At 35.8% G+C, this 19945-nt stretch overlaps 1 long non-coding RNA gene across 1 annotated transcript in view; it reads left to right on the forward strand.

Moving 5' to 3' along the window:
• The first annotated feature begins 5586 nt into the window (after window positions 1-5586).
• Window positions 5587-19945, forward strand: part of LINC01320 (long intergenic non-protein coding RNA 1320) — a 45007-nt gene continuing 30648 nt past the window's right edge. The window contains exon 1 of the long non-coding RNA NR_126404.1: window positions 5587-5957. This is a non-coding gene — a long non-coding RNA (long intergenic non-protein coding RNA 1320). The remainder of the gene's footprint in view (window positions 5958-19945) is intronic.

Below are 19945 nucleotides of genomic sequence, written 5' to 3' on the forward strand. Positions count from 1 at the left end.
TGAAATTCAAGATAACAGCGAGAAATAATGCCGAAACTTATTAGATAAATTTAATGGAGTTTTTAATAGTTTAACAAAACCAAGAAGAAATTCTAGAGCTGGAGAATGCATCAGAGCCTCTCAACAGCAGAACTGACCAAACAGAAGAATTAATGAGCTTGAAGACAGGCTATTTGAAAATATATAGTTAGAGAGGAGAAAATTTAAGAAACAGTTTAAAAAAATAAAACATGCCTACAAGACCTAGAAAATTGCCTCAGCAAGTCAAATCTAAGAGTTATTGGCTGTAAAGAAGTCATACAGAATGAGACTAGGGTAGAAATTTAATTCAATAAGATAGTAAGAGAGAACTTTTGAAACCTAGAGGAAAATACCAATACTCAAGTACAAGAAGGTCATAGAAAACCAACCAGATTTAACCCCAGTAAGACTACCTCAAGACATTTAATAATCAAACTCCCAAAGGGCAAGAATAAAGAAAGGACCCTAAAAGCAGCAAGAGAAAAGAAACAAAGGAGCAAGTGAGCTTCCATACATGCAAAAGAGCTCCAATACACCTGGCAGCAGACTTTTTAGTGGAAATTTTACCTGCCAGGAGAGAGTGGCATGTCATATTTAAGACACTGGACTTAATCTGCAGCACAGACCAAATGGACTTCATAGATATTTACAGAAGATTTCATCCAATGGCTGCAAAATACACATTCCTTTCCTCAGTGCATGGAACATTCTCAAGGACAGACAGTATGTTAGGCCACAAAACAAGTCTTAAAAATTCAAAAAAATAGAAATTGTATCAAGTATATTATCTGACCACAATGAAATAGAACTAGGAATCAATATCAAGAGGAACTTTGGAAACTACACAAACATATGGAAATTAAACAACATTCTCCTGAATGACCAGTGGGTCAATGAAGAAATTAAGAAGGAAATTTAAAAATAATATTGAAACAAATGAAAATGGAAACCCAACATACCAAAAATTATGAAATACTGCAAAGGCAGTACTAAGAGGAAAGTTTATAGCAATAATCACCTATATCAAACAAGTAGAAAAATTTCAAATAAATAACCTAAAGTTTAATCTTAAAAAACTAGAAAAGCAAGAGCGAAACAAACCCAAAATTAGTAGAAGAAAAGAAATAATAAAGATCGAGCAGAAATAAATAAAATTGAATGAAGAAAACAATTCAAAATAAAAAAGATCTTTAACTTGACTAAGAGAAAAAGAAAAACCCACGTAAGATCAGAGATGAAAAAAGAAGACATTGCAACTGATACTGGAAAACCTATAAGAAATGGATAAATTCCTAGATACATAAAACTCAACAAGATTGAATCATGAAGAATCAAAGAACCTGAATTGACTAATAAAAGGTAATAAGGTCAAAGACAATAAAAAGTATGCCAGCAGCAGGACTCAGTGGCTCATGGCTGTAATCCCAGAACTTTCGGAGGTCGAGGTAGGTGGATCATTTGAGGCCAGGAGTTTAAGACCAGCCTGGCCCAAATGGCGAAACCCTGTCTCTACTAAAAATAAAAAAATTTGGGAGGCTGAGGCAGGAGAATCGCTTAAAACCCAGGGGGCGGAAGTTACAGTGAGCTGAGGTTGTACCACTGCCCTCCAGCCTAGGCCACAGAGTGAGACTTGGTCTCAAAAAAATTAAAAACAGAAATAAAAAATTAAAAAATTAACAAGTCCTGGTGGCTCACACCTGTAATCCCAGCTACTCAGGAGGCTGAGGCAGGAGAATCACTTGAACCCAGGAGGTGGAGGCAGAGGCTGCAGTGAGCCAAGATCATGCCACTGCACTCTAGCCTAGGCAACAGGGTGAGACTCTGTCTCAAAAAAAGAAAAATGTCTCCCAGCAAAGAAAAGCCTGGGACCCTATGGCTTCCCTGCTGAATTTTACCAAATATTTAAAGAACCAATATCAATCCTACCCAAACTTTTCCAAAAGATAGAGGAGGGAATCCTTCTAAACTCATTCTATGAGGCTAGTATTACTCTGATACAAAAGTGAGATAATGACACACTGAAACAAGAAAACTAAAAACCAGTATCTCTGATGAATACTAATGCAAAAATTGCCAAGAAAATACTAGGAAACTGAATTCAACAACACCTTTAAAAGATCATCCATCATGACAAAGTGGGATTTATCCCAGGGATATAAGGATGGTTCAATGCATGCAAATCTCTCAATATGATACATCACATCAACAGAATGAAGGACAAAAACCATGTGATCATTACAGTTGATGCTGAAAAAACATTTGGTAAAATTCAATAACACTTCATGATGATAACCTTCAAAAATGGATTTAGAAGGAGCATATCTCAACACAGTAAAAGCTGTATACATCAGACTCACAGATAGTATCATTCTAAATGGCAAAAAACTGAAAGCCTTTCTTTTAAGATCTGGAAAAAGACATAGATGCCTACTTTCTTCACTGTTACTCAACATAGTACTGTAAGTCCTATCTAGACAAGAGAAAGAAAAAAAAGGGATCCAAATTGGAAAGGAAGAAGTGAAATTATCCTTTTTTTTGCAGATGATATGATCATATATTTGGAAAAACCTAAAGACTCCACCAGAAAACTATCAGAACAAATAAATTTAGTAAAGTTGCACGATACAATATCAATATAAAAATTCAGTAACATATCTGTATGACAACAGTGAACAATCTGGAAAAGAAATCAAGTAAGCCTATTTACAGTAGTTGTGAATACAATAAATATGTAAAAATAAACTTCAACCAAAAAAGTTATAAACCTCTACGATGAAAACTATGAAACATTGATGCAAGGAATTGAAGAGAACACCACAAACTGAAAGGATATTCCACGTTTGTGGATTGGAAGAATCAATATTGTTAAAATTCCCATACTACCCAAATCAATCTACAGATTCAATGCAGGATATGAAATCAAATCCCTATCACAATATCAATGGCATTCTTCACAGAAACAGAAAAAATAATCTTAAAATTTATATGGAACCACAAAAGACCCAGAATAGGCAAAGCAATCCTGAGCAAAAAGAACAAAACTGGAGAAATCATATTATCTCACTTCAAATTATACTACAGAGCTAAACCAAACAGCATGGTACTGGCATAAACAGACACACAGACCAATGGAACTGAATAGACAATACAGAAATAAATCTACCCATCTACAGTGAACTTATTTTCGACAATGGTGCCAAGAACATACATTGGAGAAAACACAGTCCTCAATAGTTGGTGCTGGGGAAACTGGGTATCCATATGCAGAAGAATGACACTGCACTTCTGTTGCTTGCCATAGACAAAAATCACAACAAAATGGATTAAAGACTTAAATCTAATAATTCAGCCTATGAAACTTCTAAAAGAAGTAATTGAAGAAACTCATCAAAACACTGCAGTTGGCAAAGGTTTCTTGAATATTACACCACAAGCACAGGCAACCAAAGCAAAAATTAACTAATGCTTTTTTTTTTTTTTTTTTTTTTTTTTTTGGTAGGGCATGAAGTTTCGCTCTTGTCACCCAGGCTGGAGTACAATGACACGATCTCGGCTCACTGCAACCTCTGCCTCTTGGGTTCAAGCGATTCTCTCAGCCTCCTGAGTAGCTAGGATTACAGGCACCCACCATCACGCCCAGCTAATTTTTGTATTTTTAGTAGAGATGGGGTCTCACCATGTTGGCCAGGCTGGTCTCAAGCTCCTGACCTCAGGTGATCCACCCGCCTTGGCCTCCCAAAGTGCTGGGATTACAGGAGTGAGTCACAGTGCCCAGCCAACAAATGCTATTACATGAAGTTAAAACCTTTCTGCACAACAAAGGAAACAATCAACAAAGTGAAGAGACAACCCACGGAATAGGGGAACATATTTGCAAACTATTCCTCTGACAAGAGATTAATAGCCAGAATATATAAGGAACTCAAATAATTCAATAGGAAAAAAATCTAATAATCTGATTTTTAAGTGGGTAAAAATTGAAATAGACATTTCTCAAAATAAGATATACAAATAGCAAACAGGTATCTGAAAAAGTGCTCAACATTACTGGTCATCATACAAATGTAACTCAAAATTACGAGAGATATTATCTTACCCCAATTAAAATGGCTCTTATTGAAAAGACAGGCAATAAAAAATACTGGTGAGGATGTGGATAAAAGGGTACATTTCTCCAGTGTTGGTGGGAATGCAAATTAGTACTACCACTATTGAGAACACTTTTGAGGTTCCTCCAAAACTAAAACTAGAGCTACCATATGGTTCAACAATCCCACTGCTAGTTATATAACCAAAAGAAAGGAAATCAGTTGATCAAAGAGATATCTGCACTCCTGTGTTTATTGCAGCACTATTCAGAATAGCCAAAATTGGCTATTCTAGACATTTTAAGTAACCTAAGTGTCTGTTAACAGAAGAATGGATAAAGAAAATGTGGTACATATACACAATGGAGTAAAACTCAGCCATAAAAAAGAATGAGATCCTGTCATTTGCAGCAACATGGATGGTACCTGAGGTCATTATGTTAAGTGAGATAAGCCGGGCACAGAAAGACAAACATTGCATATTCTCAATCATTTGGGGGAGTTACAGATGAAAAATTGAACTCATGGAGACAGTAGAATGATGTTTCTCAGAGGCTAGGAAGGGTAGTAGGGATTGAGGTGGGTGGGCAAGTGGGGATAGTTAATGGGTACAAAAACATAGAATGAACATGATCTAGTATTTGATAGCACTACAGGGTGACTACAGGAAAAATTAATCTTTTGCACATTTTTACATAATTGAGGGTATAATTAGAAAGTTTGTAACACAGATAAATGATAAATGTTTGAAGTGATGTATACTCCACTTTCCCTGATGTGATTATTACTCGCTGTATGCTTGTATCCTTAATATAACTCATGTACCCCATAAATATATGCACCCACTATGTACCCATAAAAATTAGAAATAATTTTTTAAAAAAGAAAAAATATATAAAGCAAATTGGATAAAAATCATAGGATAAAACTCACAAATCCCCTGTCAGACTGGAAGTTTTTAGCATGCGTGTTTTTGTAAGTGATAAATCAAATAGACAAAAATGAAAAAAAAAGAGAACATTAGAACAACATAACAAAAGTCTGCTTTAATGCACATATATGAAACCTGTACCCTGCAAGTAAAGAGTACACATTTTAAAAAAAATACCATAGTGAGAGAAGAGAGAGATCCTCTCATATTGTATTATACTCAGTACCTGTTTTAAGAAAAAAACAAGGAAGTGAAATCAAAGACAGGCAGCCCAGTGCCAGGCCCAAAACCAGGCCTGGGCCTGCCTGGCCTAAACCCAGTAGTTAAAAATCAACTCATAACCTAGAAACCAATGTTATTCGTAGATTCCGGACATTGTATAGAAGAACACTGTGAAACTCCCTGCCCTGTTCTGTTTCTCTCTGACCACTGGTGCATGCAGCCCCTGTCACGTATTCCTTGCTTGCTGAAATCAATCACAACCCTTTCATGTGAAATCCTTAGTGTTGTGAGCTCTTAAAAGGGACAGAAATTGTGCACTTGGGGTGCTCGGATTTTAAGGCAGCAGCTTGCCGATCCTCCCAGCTGAATAAAGCCCTTCCTTCTACAACTTGGTGTCTGAGAGGTTTTGTCTGCGGCTCGTCCTTCTACATTTCTTGGTCCCCTGACCGGGAATCGAGGTAACTGAGGGATGGCCGAGGTAGCCCCTTAGGCAGCTTAGGCCTGCCCTGTGGAGCATCCCTGCAGGGGACTCTGGCCAGCCTGAGTGACGTGATCCAAAGAGCACTCCTGGGTAGAAAATTGCCTGGGTGGAACGCCTCACCAGAACAGCACGTAGCAGGCCCCTGTGGAGGATTAACACAGTGGCTGAACACCGGGAAGGAACTGGCACTTGGAGTCCGGACATCTGAAACTTGGTAAGACTCGTCTTTGGAACTTGCCCTACTCCATCTGAGTGGAAGCGTGGCCTGATCACCCACGGTGTGCCTGTATTGGCACTTTTGTTCTGGTTTTGACTTGACTTGACTTGGTAAGACTAGTCTTTGGAACTTGCCCCACTCCATCTGAGTGGAAGTGTGGCCTGATCACCCACGACGTGCCTGCATTGGCACTTTTGTTCTAAACAAGAAAATATGGACAGGATACTTATCTAAATAAAATTACTAAATATTTTGATACTTTATTCCAGTAAATATGGATGCTTAGATAAAAGGGATCATACACAACAGCAACATAATCTTTCCAAAATCACTAAAAGAAAATAAAAAGTTTTATAATCATGTTTTAAATGGCATAAAGAAGTAAATTTTCCATGTTCATAGACTGAAAGTGCTAAATCTAGTAAAGATGTTGTTTCTAAATGTATTCATAAAGTTAATGCACTGCCAATAACATAATATTTTGCCAAAAATTATATTTATTCTAAAATATATGTAGAAGAGAAATAAGTAATGAAGAATCAAATTATTTTTGATAAATGAGATGGGTAGGTATGGGTATGTATGCCATACCAGCTATTAAGATCTACTATATCTTTATTATAGCTAAAATACTGTGATATTGACACAGGCATAGGCAAGTAGAGCAAGGGAAACCTGACACATATAAGTGCTGGTATCACACATCAATGAGCAAAATATTAACTCATAAATGGCATTTTGTTTTAGTTAGCCTTATGAAAAAAATGAAATTAGATTCTTCCTCTAAACTACATACAAAAATAAATTCTAGCAAATTAAAAATGAATACAGGAATATCTGTATGAACTCAGAGTAGTAAAGTCTATCTTCATCAATATACACAAAGAATAAACAATAAATGTAATTATATCGGTAAATAAGTGTTGATATGTTCATACAATGGAATATTATACAGCAACAAATAGAAATGGATCTGTTACTGGTATCAATATGGATGAATCTTGCAGACATACTTTTGAATGGAAAAACCATTGATAAATGAATACATATAGTACATCATGTACGTTAATTTTAACATATGAAAAGCAATTATATTTGATTTTAAAGATACACAATTATATAATAATTACTTGCAGAAGTGCATGAAACTACTAAGAAGCAAATCAATATAATGAATATGTCTGAGAACAGGTAGGTAGGGTGCATAAGAAGAAAAGGTTAGGTATTCAGGAATCTCCAACAGCCTTTGCAATGTTTTACTTCTAAAACTGAATGATGGGTACATAGATATTTACTTCGGTATAGTTTATATCTTCTAGTATATCTGCAATATTTTACAATGAATTTTAAAATAACAGTAACACACACAAGGCTTCTACTCTCCAATCTACCACTGACCCACTATTCCCCACTATGATACAGTTTGAATGAGCAAGCTTAGACTGTTGCGTTTACCTAGAATAGTACTAAAGAGGAAACAAATACTTATTTTAAAAAATTACAGGCATGTAATGTGAAATAAGTACATCATGAATGAGGGGGTATCTGGGTATCTGTCCCCTCAAGCATGTATCCATTGAATTGCAAACCATCAAATTATATTCTTTAAGTTACTTTAAAATGTACATGTTATTACTGACTATAATCACCCCGTTGTGCTATGCAACAGTAAGCCTTATTTATCCAATTTTTTAATTTTTATTTATTTATTTATTTATTTATTTGAGATGAAGTCTCGCTCTGCTGCCCAGGCTGGAGTGCAGTGGTGCAATCTCAGCGCACTGCAAGCTCCGCCTCCCAGGTTCACACCATTCTCCTGCCTCAGCCTCCCGAGTAGCTGGGACTACAGGCACCTGCCACCACGCCCAGCTAATTTTTTGTATTTTTAGTGGAGACAGGGATTCACCGTGTTAGCCAGGATGGTCTTGATCTCCTGACCTTGCGATCCGCCCGCCTCGGCCTCCCAAAGTGCTGGGATTACAGGTGTGAACCAGGCCACTGCGCCCGGCCCCTTTCTATTTTTGTACCCATTAAATATCCCATCTCTCCCCAATCCCCCCACTAGGTTGTTGGAAAGACAAAACACCGAAACCATTTGTTTGGGCTGGGTTATGAATAAAAATGAAACTAGGCTGTTGCAAAGGATAGTCTACTTCACCAAAAAAAAAAAAAGTTTATTTTTTAATAGCAACCTAAAACACTCATTCACTTTAGCTGCTAGCACCCTGTAGGTACTTAAGTTTATGAACACTAATCAACACTAGTACAGAGAAGACACTGTAGAGATATTTTTAGTATTATAATAATTAACACAATATAATTTTCCACTTCTTAGGCTTAGAAAGTTATCTTATCGTTATACAAGACCTGTATAAAAGTAGATGAATGAATGAAGAGATCTATGAAACTGAAGATCAGACATACAGTTTGTAATTCTTCTAAGCTGCTTTGAACCCCTTTGTAATGAAAGAAATGCTACTGCTCAAGAAATTGTAATCATTTTTGCTTATAATTAACATCACTTTATTAATAATTGTTATATTTCAAATTTATTCTCTCTGGCTTGGAAAATTAGCAACAGTGTTGAATAAATTAGGATAATATTAAAAGAAACTATATTTAAAGCAAGCAAAACTTTAGTGGACAGATAAGATTGTACTCATTATAAAGTATATTTACCATGGAGAAGCTGCATCTCCTGTGAGACACCAGAGAAGAGATTTTGATAACCAGATGGCTTTTGCAGCCTGAGAAGTATGCACATTGGCTAGCTACTTGACTCAATTGTTTTGCTTGCATTTTGTGGCATAGCTTTTTCTCAGCTGCGGGCAACAGTTGAATGGACATTAAAATCTCAGAGTTAAAATATAGCTATAGTTTCTTTGAACAAACCTTTCTACCAATGAAAGATGTTGCCTTACAGGTGGTCTTCAAATCTCTACTTGAACATTCTGTTGACCAAGAACTCACTGTCTCTGAGATGGATTGTTTCATTGCTGAAGTGCTTAATTGTTAGATAATCTACCCTTATATGTCTTTCTGTAACTTTCATTCATTGGACCTAGGCCTGTTCCTCTTTTCTGTAAAAACTAAATAGTAATTTTTACAGGTCAGTTGAACAAACATTTGGGGAGCAGCTGCTATCAAGTTAAAGATTAAGACGTGATTTATATACTTACGGATTTTCAACTATTTAGTGCAGAAAGACATTTACATGAACATTTACATATATAGGTATTCCTATTGCCACAACCTGTTTACTGTTGACAAAAAGGTGAATGCATTTCAAGTAGGAAATTACAGAGCTCGTTAACCATGCATCATAAGTAAGGCAGCAAATATCTAATCTTCATCAGTAAGAGTCCCAACTCTTACTAACTGCAACTTTGATAAATGGATATTGCTAAGAATGTGTGTTGGTTGTACTACTGTTCAAGGTGGCTAAGTCCATATATTTCTTTCACTTCTCACTCCAGATTTTGTGAAATGACACCTAAGTTGTATAAAAAGATGTGAATTAATTACTGCTCTCATAATGAGAGAAGTTTCATGAGTGGCTTAAAGACTTTCAAACATGCATGAATATTTGGAGTATAAAGAATAGCAGATGATTCTAGTAGCAAAGTAGAAATGTAAAGAGGAGGAAACTCTAGTAGAAATAAAAACTGTTCTTCCCCCACCCACCAGAGCCTTAGTGGGCCTTCAAGATCAGAGACCAGGAGTAGGCTACAAAACAGAGTCATTCATTTATGCTTTTATTCATAATATCAAAAGCAGATTACCACATGCTTTCATCCTCCACCTTTAGAGCATCTAACACCAAGATGAAGACTAGAGATGTGCTGTTTAAAGAAGTTGAAAAATTTATTTACGGTGGGCAAGGACTCAGAGTCAACATCTTATCTTGGCACAAGACAGGAGGTTTGGTGGTTGTAGGAGACCTGTATTCTTTCCACACATGCAAGTGAGAATGAAGTCTTCCACTTGACATACCTCTAACTCTGATATAAAACTCAGTAAGTTTTGGCCAGGTGCAGTGGCTTGCGCCTGTAATCCCAGCACTTTGGGAAGCTGAGGCAGACAGATAAAGAGGTCAGGAGTTCAAGACCAACCTGGCCAACATGGTGAAACCCCGTCTCTACTAAAAATACAAAAATTAGCCAGGCGTGGTGGTGGGGCACCTGTAATCCCAGCTACTCGGAAGGCTGAGGCAGGAGAATCACTTGAAACTGGAAGACAGAGGTTGCACTGAGCCGAGATCACTGCCACTGCACTCCAGTCTGGGCAACAAGAGCGAAACTCCATCTCCAGTTAGTGGGTGCAGCGCACCAGCATGGCACATGTATACATATGTAACTAACCTGCACAATGTGCACATGTACCCTAAAACTTAAAGTATAATTAAAAAAAAAAAAGAAAAATAAAAGAAAAATTTTCAAAGAAATGTAAAAAATAAAAATAAAAATAAAAAAATAAATAAATAAATAAATAAAATAAAACTCAGTACGTTTTTCTCCACAGAGCAACAAAGACACCTATACAAAGTCATAGGAGATCAAGGTCAATAACTAATATTTAACACATATTCATTCACAGATATGAATTGAGAACAAAATAGCACCAGAAATTTTCAAGAAGTGAAGAACAAATGTAGAGAAGCATAATGATAACAAATAGAAAAAAAAAGATGCCCCAAAAAACAGAACTCAAGGAACAGAAAATTGTATTTTGAGTTTCCTTAGAGATTCCAGAACATTCTGCAGTAAATAAAACAAGATCAAGCTTATGTTTTAAAAAATTATCAGAGAATTAGAAAATGTTACTGGAAAGAAAACCATTAAAAAAGTGTTAGAAAATAAAAGAAAAAAAGTCTCAAAAGATAGAGCAAAAAAGTCAAAAAAAATGAGAAAACTCTGAGAGAAACATCAAAGAGAAACATCGAGATAGAGAGGCTAGAATTCCATCATGTGACTAATGCGAACTTTGGAAAGATCAGAAAAAATAGAGACAAGAAACTAGTCAAAAAACTAATTGACATTATTTCACAACATTTAACAACAAATATCAAATTGGGAGAACCTGACAAGTTCCTAGAATGATGGAAAAAGTCCTATTTCTAAACACATTCATGAAATTTCAGAACATTAAAGATACAAAGATGGTCTTAAAGGTGATTGGGGAAAAAAATGCCAGTTTATGGATAAGTGAACGGGAATCAGATTGGCATTAGAAAATGAGGCCGTGAGACAAAGAGAAAATTGTATATTCTTGCCAAGCCATCCATAATCTGAGTAAGGTTATACTCCAAAGTAAAATGAAAACAAAATTAAAAAAACTATATACAGACTTTTAAAATGCACTTAATTTGGAATGCCATATTGAGAACTCTAGTGCATCATTAGAGAATAACTAGCTTTAATTGAAACATGAAGTCAGATGCTTCATTTTGACAAATGTTTTGGTTGAGAACTTGAATGATTTTAGAGTTAAGCCAAAGACATATGCTTCTTATATAAGCAAGCAAAAAAAAGGCAATTGAACCCTTGAAATCCGCAATAAGACAAAAAGGTTATTGAAAGTTGTAATCCAAATTTAAAGCAAACAACTGCTCCATGATTTTGAGTAATTGGCATGGTTTGAGAAAAGGTCAACCATTTAATCCTGACATTATCTTTCAAGGAACTGGAGAAAGAGAAAATTTTAGTTTTCATTTCGTAACTTTCTGTGCTACATGATTTTTTTAACTATGTATTATAGAGGCAATATAATAATGATAACAGAGTTATTGAAAGGCATTTTGTGAGCATAGTCAGCACAGGTAGCCCAGAGTAAGAATATTCAAGGAAGCCTTCTGAGAGGAGATAGATGTGTAATACATTACCAAACAAATTCAGAAGTAATTCTGCAATAAGTGGGAAGGATGGCAAGAAGACAGAGACAGGATAGGGTGGAAGGAATTCCAGCAAGAAGAGAATGAGCAAAGAAAGAGAACAATGAACAATACCCATCTATGTATGCTGGATCTTCCTGTATACTAGCCATTGAAGATACAAAGATAAAGAAGAAATGCTACTTCCTAAATGATTTACAATCAGATGGTGAGGAAAGATAAGCAAGATAGGGCGGCAATACAGTGCTACAATACTGTGCTATTTGGTACTTTGAGTGATGAGATTTTTCTATTGCAAATGGGAGAGCAGGAGCTGGGTTGTGGGACAGCATGAGGACAGTGATTAGTATTGGGACAGTCACTGAAGGGTGTAAGAAAGAGGTTACCAAAGACACATTAAATAATTGTCCAGCAGCTTGAATGCCTTTCTAGCACTAAATTGTCACCCAGCCACATAATAGAATAATACTATTTTTCTCCAAAGTCACTTAACATCCATTTTGAAGGAACCAACATTTTTGGCTGCTTCAAAATGGATGCTAATTGCCTCTGGTTGGTTCAATGGGTGTAGTAGAAGTACAGAAGTTTACTTGAAATTGAAGAGGCTGGTGAAAGAGTAAACCAGATAATTAATATGGCATTCAGGACCACGATGTAAATGGAGATATAGAAGTATAATACATAAACTAAGAAAAGTGCAGGCATTAAAGTTTCGTATGTTTCTTTAAGGGTTAATGAACTCAATAAATGGGATAAGATAGAGAGGGCTAATGATAGGGTAGGAAGGGACATTAAAATAACTGTGTCCTTTTCTGTTTGCATATAACGTTCCTTCCACTCATTTCTGGCTGAGGTAAAGACACTAATATTGCAAGGTCGTTATTGAACTTATTGGGCCAATTACTGAAGTATGACACAGTAGAAATACAGACTGAGTATCCCTTATTCAAAAGGCTTAGGACCAGAAGTATTTGGGATTTTTGATTTTTTTTTAATTCTGGGATATTTGCATTACATTTACCAGTTGAGCATTCCAAATCTGAAAATCTGAAATCTGAGAGGCTCCAACGAACATTTTATTTGAGGGTCAAAAATGTTCATATTTTGGAGCATTTTGGATTTCAGATTTTTGGATTTTGGATGCTCAGCCTGTACCATTTATCGTGGTTAGGATTTGGTAGAAAGGAGAGAAATAGAGGCCCAAGAGACCTAATGTAGGAATCTGAAAAACACACTTGACCTTTCTGAGTCTCATTTTCTTCTCTCTCTAAAGTATTTGAATTAATCTATAACATCATGTAGTCCTCAAATCATTGTACAAAGATCATAAATCAAAATTTAGGGGAACATATAAGTGAGCTTTTTAAAGATCATCCATAAGTAAATATAAAGAACACACATACTAGGGTTGTCTTTCATTACTATTCTCTTTCCCCCAGTTGTAATTATCACAGAAAAAAAGAGTTATTCCCAAAGATAACTGGCTCAGTTACATGAACAATTTACGAATTGATCTCATTTATCAGATATTTATAACCAATAGTCAATCAAATAAAGACTTTTTTATTTTACTTTCCCTCTATCTGATAAGTAAAATAATATTCTAGCATGGTGCTACATTTCAAATAGTACAAAACAAATTAAACTCTTAATGGTCTATAACATATAGACCTAGTCATTGTAAGAATGTCTGTGTCTTCTCTAATATTTTCCTCAAACAGGATACTCAGATCTTTTATGGAAATAAACTGGATGGTATCTTTTGTGTAAATTCTACATTCTAAGTCTCCAAGAGAATTATTTAAATGAGAAATGTGAGTCTCAAATTTCCATTCTAGTGGTGCTGAACACTCTAATTCCAAAGACTTGGTTAAGTCTCTTAATTCTACATGACTAAAGGCTCTCTCTCTCTTTCTGTTTTCCTCTTAACATTGATGGAAAAACTCACATTTCTTCTATTTAAATTTTGCTTCTAGCATCTGGAGCAATTACCTTTATCATTGGATCTTGTATTAGTGTTCTCTAGAAAAAGAGAACCAATATATAAATATACAAGAGGAGATTTTTTATGGGTATTGTCTCAAGAAATTATGGAGGCTGAGAAAGCCCATGGTCTGCCATCAGTGAGCTGGAGAACGAGAGTGGGTGGTGTAATTCAATCTCAGTCTGAAGGCCTGAGAGCCAGGGAAGCTGATGATATGACTCCCAGTCTGAGAAACAGAGTCTCGGATGTTTGAGAACAAAAAAAGATACATGTTCCAGCTCGAGAAGAGAGAATTTGCCCTTCCTCTCCCTTTTTTGTTCTATTAGGGCGCAGTGAATTGGATGATGCCTGACCACATTGGTGAAGGCAGATTTTCTTTACTCAGTGTACTGAATCAAATGCTAATCTGTTGTACAAACACTGTCACAGACACACCTAGAAATAATGTTTTAGCTATTATCTGGACACCCTTAGTCCAGTCAAGTTAATGAATAAAATTAACCATCACAGATGTTAAAAAATGATATTCAGCTTTTTCTGGATATTAGCTTTATCTGTTTATAATAGTCATACATGGCACTTGAATATTCTGACAGATTAATTCAAAGTCCTAGGATTAGTGTGATGTTGGTGTGGTCTAGAAGTGAATTGTGGATGGAAATGTTCTCAGCCAAGTGTATTCACTTTGGGAGAGCTTCAAAGAACAGAATGATTTTGAAATAAGAATATATAATATATAGTCTTACTGGAACCTATGAAAAACTCATGTGTTATCTACTACTCAAGCCAAAAAAATAATTTTTTATGCTTATGTTGTTAAGGATTTACTTGCATCACTTCATTAATTAGCAATTTGTATTGTATCAAGTGGGTCTAATCCTTTTAATAGATTCCAAACAGGCTACTTGGCTATTAAATTCTAGTTTGTTTTATATTTATTCATGAGAAGAAAATGCCATAGAAAGATTCCATGAAGGAAAATGTTTGCTTTGCATTCAGTCTTTCAACAATAAAAAGGAAAAAAAAATAGACGTTGCCAACTGTGTCATATGTATGAATGGTTTTCTACGGGAATTCATATCTTTAGTTGTTCTGTTCCTATTACTTGTTGTCTTCGAAAATGGGTTCCAGCTGGGCGCGGTGGCTCACACCTGTAATCCCAGCACTTTGGGAGGCCAAGGCGGGCGGATCACGAGGTCAGGAGATCAAGACCATCCTAGCTAATACGGTGAAACCCCGTCTCTACTAAAAATACAAAAAAAATTAGATGGGCGTGGTGGCGGGCACCTGTAGTCCCAGCTACTTGGGAGGCTGAGGCAGGATAATGGCGTGAACCCGGGAAGTGGGGCATGCAGTGAGCCGAGATTGCGCCACTGCATTCCAGCCTGGTGAAAGAGCGAGAAGCCATCTCAAAAAAAAAAAAAAAAAAAAAAAACAAAAAAATCAGGATATGAATATATGCTTCTTGATATAGTGGTTGCAAAAAAAGATAAAAATCTTTACATTCCTCATGTTTGCCTTTGTACAGACCCAAATTTCTCACCAACCATTATCTGTAGGAATGACTGTCTCCTCTCTCTCTTATTTGGGTACTGAGAAGCTGAACTGTCTACACCTATCAAATGCTTGCTGGCTGAGTGCTCACAGTCACCCAATTTACTGTCTATATCAGTATTTAGCAAAAGATTTTCTGTAAAGGACCGGAAAGTAAATATTGTAGGCTTTGTAGGCCACCTAAAATCTCTGTTACATATTCTGCTTAAAAAAAAAAAAAAAAAAAAAAACCACCTTGGAAAAGGTTGAAAAATGTGAGAAGCTTTCGTTGCTTCTGAACTCAGCCCCTGGACACAGTTTGCCAGTGCCTGGACTATATATTAGGATGACTTTATTATGCCATTTATTAGCATGACTACTATTCTAGGATATCCTTTCCCAGGCAAGTAGCTTAATTGCTCATTGCAGGAACTTTCCCAAAAACGCCAATTGTTCAATGGAAAGCATCAGCAGAAAATTTTCACCTTGAGTTCCTATTAATTCCTTGCCTCAAAATTTTTTCCTTGCTTTTTTTCACCTGTCTTAAGCCATTATTATTATGATTCTTACCCAATCTGAATTAAGCACATATCTTTTCCCCCACTCTCCAATTTCCATTGGAAGTCCCCCCATCTAAGCCAAACTTTCAATTCTTAATAATTTCTAATCTTGTCTTTTCCAATTTAAGACATTACCAAAGCTCTGTGGATGCAGTGTTCTCTCTCAATTGTGGAAAAATCAGCTTTGCTTATAAATATGTTATTTTGATGAAGGTGATTTGGGTGATATTTGGGGATCTAGCATTTGACAGTCAACAGAATGATTTTGATTTTGTTATGGTGTCTTTCATAGTTCCCCTTTCATTATAGTTATATAAGTGTATGCCTGCCTCTCTACTGGAAAGTAAAATTCAGGCTATCAGGAATTATATATTAATTATATTAAGTATTTTGCACATAGTAGGCATTAATTAGGTATTTGTTGCACTATAGCAATATAGGTAGTGATCTTTATTGAACCACTTTTATTCAATTATTTTTGTTGCTCACATAGGGTTTGCTGTATGAAAGCATCTTTCACTTCTATTCATGTGTGAGACAAAGTGAAAAGGAACGATGTTTCAGGAACATCTTTAAGCCTTCTTAAAATGTACCCAGGAATAATCAATGTCATTTCTCCACAGGATATTTTCTGTGAAAATAGCAATATTTTGTGCCTGGGTTTCTTTGTGTCTTCAACTATTCCCATGACTGCGGATCAGGGCATCCCCACAGTGTAGATCCAATCAAGAAAACACCATTTTCTTCAATTTGACAAAATGGAAAGCAAGAAAAGAAACAAAAAAAGTGTCTCACTAAAAAATAACCAGTCTCGTTGTATGCTGATAGGGTCGAGGGTAGGTGGGGCTGTTCCATTACTGAGATTAATGCCTAATTACCCACGTGTGTGATTTTTACTGCACTCAGATTGCTGGGGAAACAATACGTATTTCCTCAGTAAAATATATGAGTTGGTTTTCTTTTTAAGTCAGAAAACTTGTCAGAAACCAGCATTTGAACTGTTGATCTCTTGGGGAACATTTTGTTGGTATGCTGTTATATTGTCAGACTGCCAATATTCTTTTACCTTTTTTCCTTAAGTTGTAAGCAGGTAACCATGCTATGTAAGCTACAGACTAGAAACATAAAACTAAATACACATCATCAGAAAAACATCTGGAAGGTAATAGGACCAAAGAGAGAGTTTATACATATTGAATCAATATGAATACTTGTTAGGATATGCTAGACATAAATAGTATGTCATTCACATCAGTAAAAGTAATTAGTCTTTCTTTATCCAAAGCACCTCTTCTGGGACTACCTAAAGGAAAAGTGTTACTGGAAAGAAAGGGAGAGTGTGTTTCAGAGACCCTTCCTTCTTTAGATTGAATAGCTCTCCTCTGCTATCAGATCATGTTTTAGAGAAGGGTATGGCTATGTGTTTCATCTCACTAGAATATATTTACCACCTTATCCTTCAGCTCTCAAGATACACAGTTGTTGGTTTCTTCTATGGCATTCTTGTGAAGAGTAAAACAAACAAAGCACACACACATACACACACACACACACAGTTTTTGATTCCATGAAAAGTAGAGGTGACAGATTACACTTCTGATGAATAGGCTCATCTGTTGCAATTTCTCCAGGCTCAGAGTCAAGAGATACGCCAATTCATTGCTAGATTATTTGCCCTGATCTTGGCCTTGCTTGACCTGGCCTATCTAGGTAAGGGAGAAGGAGGGTTTGGCAGAAACAGGATGCATCAGACTCAGATTATGGTCAAGATGGGGTCTTTTATGGCCTGTTCAGCCACTGTCATATAGGCTTTGTTCTGCTGATCTTAAGATCCAAGTGAAACAAATTAGGCTATTAAAATAAAAGCTGGGTTTCCACAGTAATTGTCTTTAATAATAATACCTAACAGGACTTAAAGGGTGAGAGCACTGTCCCTGTTGAGCTTTTGTTATATCAATCCTTTCTATATTTCACACCTACTGTCCCTGTTGAGCTATTGTATCAATCCTTGCTATATTTCACACCTACTTTTTCCAGAACATCATCTGACTTATCAATTCTCACCCTAGTAATGTTTGAAAGAAACCCAGTCGTATAAACAGCCGTCTTATATGGTTCATTTGATAATTTCAAATATACAGGTTTGTTGTAAAAACATATTTATAGACATCCTCTATATTTTGAAGAAAAATTCTGATGGAAATTTATTTTTTGTCTACACTATTTTTGGAAAGATTATGTTTACACAACATGACAAAGGGAATATTTTACCTTACTGAGACATTTTTGAAGCAGTTTATACATCTGAAACAATGACTTGGTAGCAGACCAATGAATATTTGCCAAAATGTTAAAATACTGTGGAGAGAAAAGTCAAATCTTCATTGACGAATGAATGTATAAGTTGTGACATTAATTTATAATGGACCACTAGCAATAAAAAGGACAGAATGATTGACACATGCAGCAACATGAGTGAAATTTAAAACAACTAAGCTGAGAAAAAGTCCGATCCACCCCCATCAAAAAAGAGTGCATACTATATGATTCCATCTTATAATGGTCTAGAAAAAACAAACAAATATACACCTACAGAAAGCATATTAGTGGATAACTGGGAGCAGGAAGTGGGGTTGGCAGAAGGGAGGGATTCAAAAGGGCACAAGACAACTTTGGCGAGTAGTGGATGTGGATATGGTTATTATTTTAACTATCATGATATTTTCAGAGGTTTATATATATATATATATATAGGTCAAAACTTATCAAATTGTACCTTTAAATACATGCTGACCATTAATTTTATGTCAGTCATCCACAAATAAATCTGTAGAAACATAACATCTGAATATCATCAACAAATCTCTCAGTTCCTTTTCTGTTGCTTATAATGGATACTTGAAACTGGAGAATTTATAAAGAAAAAAATATTTCTTACAGTTATAGAGGTTGGGAAGTCCACGGTCAAAGAACCACATTTTATGGGCCTTCTTACTGAGAGAACTCTCTGAAGAGTCCCTAGGCTATACAGGGTATCTCATGGTAAGGGGGTTGAGCCTGCTGGCTTAGGTGTCTCTTCCTCTTCTAATAAAACCACCAGTCCCACTCCTGTGATAACTCATTACTCTACTAATCCATTTATCCATAAATGGATTAGGCCATTCATGAGGGCTCTGACCTCATGACCCAAACACCTCTTACATACCCTATGTCTCAATTCTGCTACTTTGGGGATTAAGTTTCAACATGAGTTTTGGAGGGAACAAACATTCAAATGATAGCAAAATCCTATCAGTTAAATTAAGTAGATGAGGGAGGCTCTCTCTCTGGAAGGTGTATAGATTTTTGAACTTTTAATATATACAAAAGTAGAAGAATCCTGTGGGTGGAGTATTGACAAAATGTTTGTGAGTATGCTATGAAGGCCTTTTTCTTAGCAGTAATAGTACAACAATGCAAATAATCACATAGGTAAAAAGTAACTTGCATTTAAGAGATATAAAATGGTCCAAAATATGATATTTGCAATACTAATAGATGATTTTATTCAATAAATTAAAAAATACTTATTTATATTATTCCACAATACATAGACAAAGAAGGAAAAAGGGAAAGCTAAAAAGAAAAAAGGAAAGGAATGGAAAAATATTTTTTGCCTTAACTTTTAAAATTTCATTTCAACTTTCATTTTAGATCTAGAGAACACATGCAATTTTGTTACATGGGAATACTGTGTTGTGCTGAGGTCTGGAGTATGGATCCCTTCACCCAGGTAGTAAGCATAGTATTCTATAGGTAATTTTTTTTAACCCACCCACCCTCCTTTCTCCACCATCTAGTAGTCCACAGTGTATACTGTCCCCATATTTATGTCTACGTGTGCTCAATGTTTAGCTCCCACTTATAAGTGGGAATATGCAGTATTAGATTTTCTATTTGTGAGTTAATTTGCTTAGGATTATGACCTCTGTCTTCATCCTTGTTGCTGCAGAGGACATTATTTAATTCTTTTTTATGG

Source organism: Homo sapiens, chromosome 2 (genome assembly GCF_000001405.40).
Source record: "Homo sapiens chromosome 2, GRCh38.p14 Primary Assembly".
Taxonomy (NCBI): Eukaryota; Metazoa; Chordata; class Mammalia; order Primates; family Hominidae; genus Homo; species Homo sapiens.